The following is a 2,887-nucleotide window of genomic DNA, read 5'->3' on the forward strand; positions in this document are numbered from 1 at the left end:
TTCACGTCCTTTGCAGGGACATGGATGAAGCTGGAAACCATCATTCTCAGCGAACTAACACAGGAACTGAAAACCAAACACTGCACGTTCTCACTCATAAGTGGGAGTTGATCAGTGAGAACATATGGACACAGGGAGAGGAACATCATGCACCGGGGCCTATTGGGGGGTGGGGGGGTTAGGGGAGGGATAGCATTAGGAGAAATACTTAAAGTAGATGAGGGGTTGATGGATGCAGCAAACCACCATGGCACGTGTATACTTAGGTAACAAACCTGCACGTTCTGCACTTGTATCCCAGAACTTAAAGTATAATTTAAAGAAAAAACAGCCAGGCGGGGTGGCTCATGCCTGTAATCCCAGCACTTTGGGAGGCCGAGGCAGGCGGATCATGAGGTCAGGAGATCGAGACCATCTTGGCTAATACAGTGAAACCCCGTCTCTACTAAAAATACAAAAAAAAAAAATTTGCCGGGCGTGGCGGGGGGCGCCTGTAGTCCCAGCTGCTCGGGAGGCTGAGGCAGGAGAATGGCGTGAACCCAGGAGGCGGAGCTTGCAGGGGGCCGAGATCGCGCCACTGCACTCCAGCCTGGGCGACAGAGCGAGACTCCATCTCAAAAAAAAATAAAAATAATAAAAAAATTAAAAATAAAAAAACACCCTTTGGGAGGCTGAGGCAGGTGGATCACGAGGTCAGGAGATCAAGACTATCCTGGCTAACATGGTGAAACCCCATCTCTACTAAAAATACAAAAAATTAGCTGGGCATGGTGGCGGGTGCCTGTAGTCCAGCTACTTAGGGAGGCTGAGGCCGGACAATGGCGTGAACCCAGGAGGCGGAGCTTGCAGAGAGATGAGATTGCACCACTGCACTCCAGCCTGGACATAGAGTGAGACTCTGTCTCAAACAAACAAACAAACAAACAAACAAACATTCCATGCTCATGGACTGCAAGAATCAAAATTTTGAAAATGGCCATACTGCCAAAAGCAATCTACAGATTCAATGCTATCCTATCAAACTGCCAATGTGATTTTTCAAATAATTAGAAAAAAACTTCTAAAATTCATATAGAACAAAAAAGAGCTGAAATAGCCAAAACGATTCTAAGCAAAAAGACAAAAGCCAGAGGCATTACATCATCTGATTTCAAACTGTATTATATGGCTACAGTAAACAAAACAGCATGGTAAGGGTACAAAAACAGACATATGGAACAATGGAACAGAATAGAGAACCTAGAAATGAAGCAGCACACCTAAAGCCATCTAATCTTTGACAAAGTCAACAAAAATAAGGAATGGAGAAGGGATATCCTACTTAATAAATGATGCAAGGACAGCTGTCTAGCCACATGCAAAAGAATGAAACTGGGCCCCTACCTTCCACCATACACAAAAATTAACTCGAGATGGATTAAATATTTAAATATACCCCTTAAACTAAAATAATTCTGGAAGAAAACGTAGGAAACACCATTCTGGAAATCAGCCTTAGGAAAGAATTTATGACAAGTCCTCAAAAGCAATGGCAACAAAACAAAAATTGACAAGTGGTACCTGATTATACTGAAGAGTTTCTGGCCAGCAAAGAAAAATATCAACAGAGTAAACAGACAACATAGAGAACAGGAAAAAAATATTATCAAACTATGCATCTAACAAACATCAATATACAGAATCTGTAAGAAACCTAAACAATTGAACAAGCAAAATCAAACAACCCCATTAAAAATGGACAAAAGACATGAACAGACACTTCTCAAAAGATGACATACAAGTGGCCAACAAACATATGGAAAAAAATGCTCATCATCACTAATCATTCAGAGAAATGCAAATCAAAATCACAATGAGATACCACCTTACATCATTCAGAATGGCTGGATGAAATTTTTGTAACATAGAGCTTGGTTAAATGGAGTAAAGGTGTGAGTCATGGCTCAAATGTCCAGACTCTCACAGTAACCACTGAGAGTTAGTAGATTTTCTTGAGTGAATGTTTCTCCATTTGCTCTATGCCCTTAGGACAATATCCAGGGTTTGCAAATGACTTGTATTTGTTTAAATATAATTTTCACCCATTAAACTTTTGTTTTGCTGGAAGGAGCATCTGCTGAGCAACTTAGTCAAGCTCCTTACGCAGTCAACCTAGAAGTCCTGCACCTCCTTCCTTACTTCTTACTTGAATTATTGCAACCTCTTGACTTGTTTCCCTAATTCTATCGTCACTTGCTGCCAATTGGTTTAGCCACAGTTCCTCCATAGTAAGCTCCACAAATGCAAATCTGACCTTGCCATTCCACTGCAAAGAACTATCCACTGCAAAGAACTAATTCAAAAGTGCACTTCAACACTTTTCCTGGTAATAATCCATACTCTATAATATGGCTTGTACAATCCCTGCTGATTTAGCCCTCTCCTACCTTTAGAACATAGTTATTAGCCTCTTATTTTTCTCTTTTCTCACATAGCTCTACTACACAAATGTGAGAAACAATTATAATTTGTTACTTTTACATTAATTCCCTTCCCTTCTGTTTTGATATATGAGCCTTGGTGAAAAGTAGACCTTTTGGAAACAGGATGGGTTTGAATATCGTGTCCATCACTTACCCTCGACTGACTTTTCACTTTCTTATCCGTAAGATGGAGATAGTAATAGTAGTTAACATAGGATGACAGGGCTTGTACAATCCCTGCTGATTTAGCCCTCTCCTACCTTTAGAACATAGTTATTAGCCTCTTATTTTTCTCTTTTCTCACATAGCTCTACTACACAAATGTGAAAAACAATTATAATTTGTTACTTTTACTTTAATTCGCTTCCCTTCTGTTTTGATATATGAGCCTTGGTGAAAAGTAGACCTTTTGGAAACAGGATGGG

At 40.3% G+C, this 2,887-nt stretch overlaps 1 annotated feature.

The window, feature by feature from the left end:
- Window positions 1,923-2,092: an enhancer, noted in NCBI's record as "experimental_9844 CRE fragment used in MPRA reporter constructs". NCBI's record gives its function as "activates a minimal promoter by MPRAs in K562 erythroleukemia cells, with activity observed for both the introgressed and non-introgressed 10:110716135 variant alleles {active_cell/tissue: K562}" and the evidence as "EXISTENCE:reporter gene assay evidence [ECO:0000049][PMID:34662402]".

Source organism: Homo sapiens, chromosome 10 (genome assembly GCF_000001405.40).
Source record: "Homo sapiens chromosome 10, GRCh38.p14 Primary Assembly".
NCBI classification, from domain to species: Eukaryota; Metazoa; Chordata; class Mammalia; order Primates; family Hominidae; genus Homo; species Homo sapiens.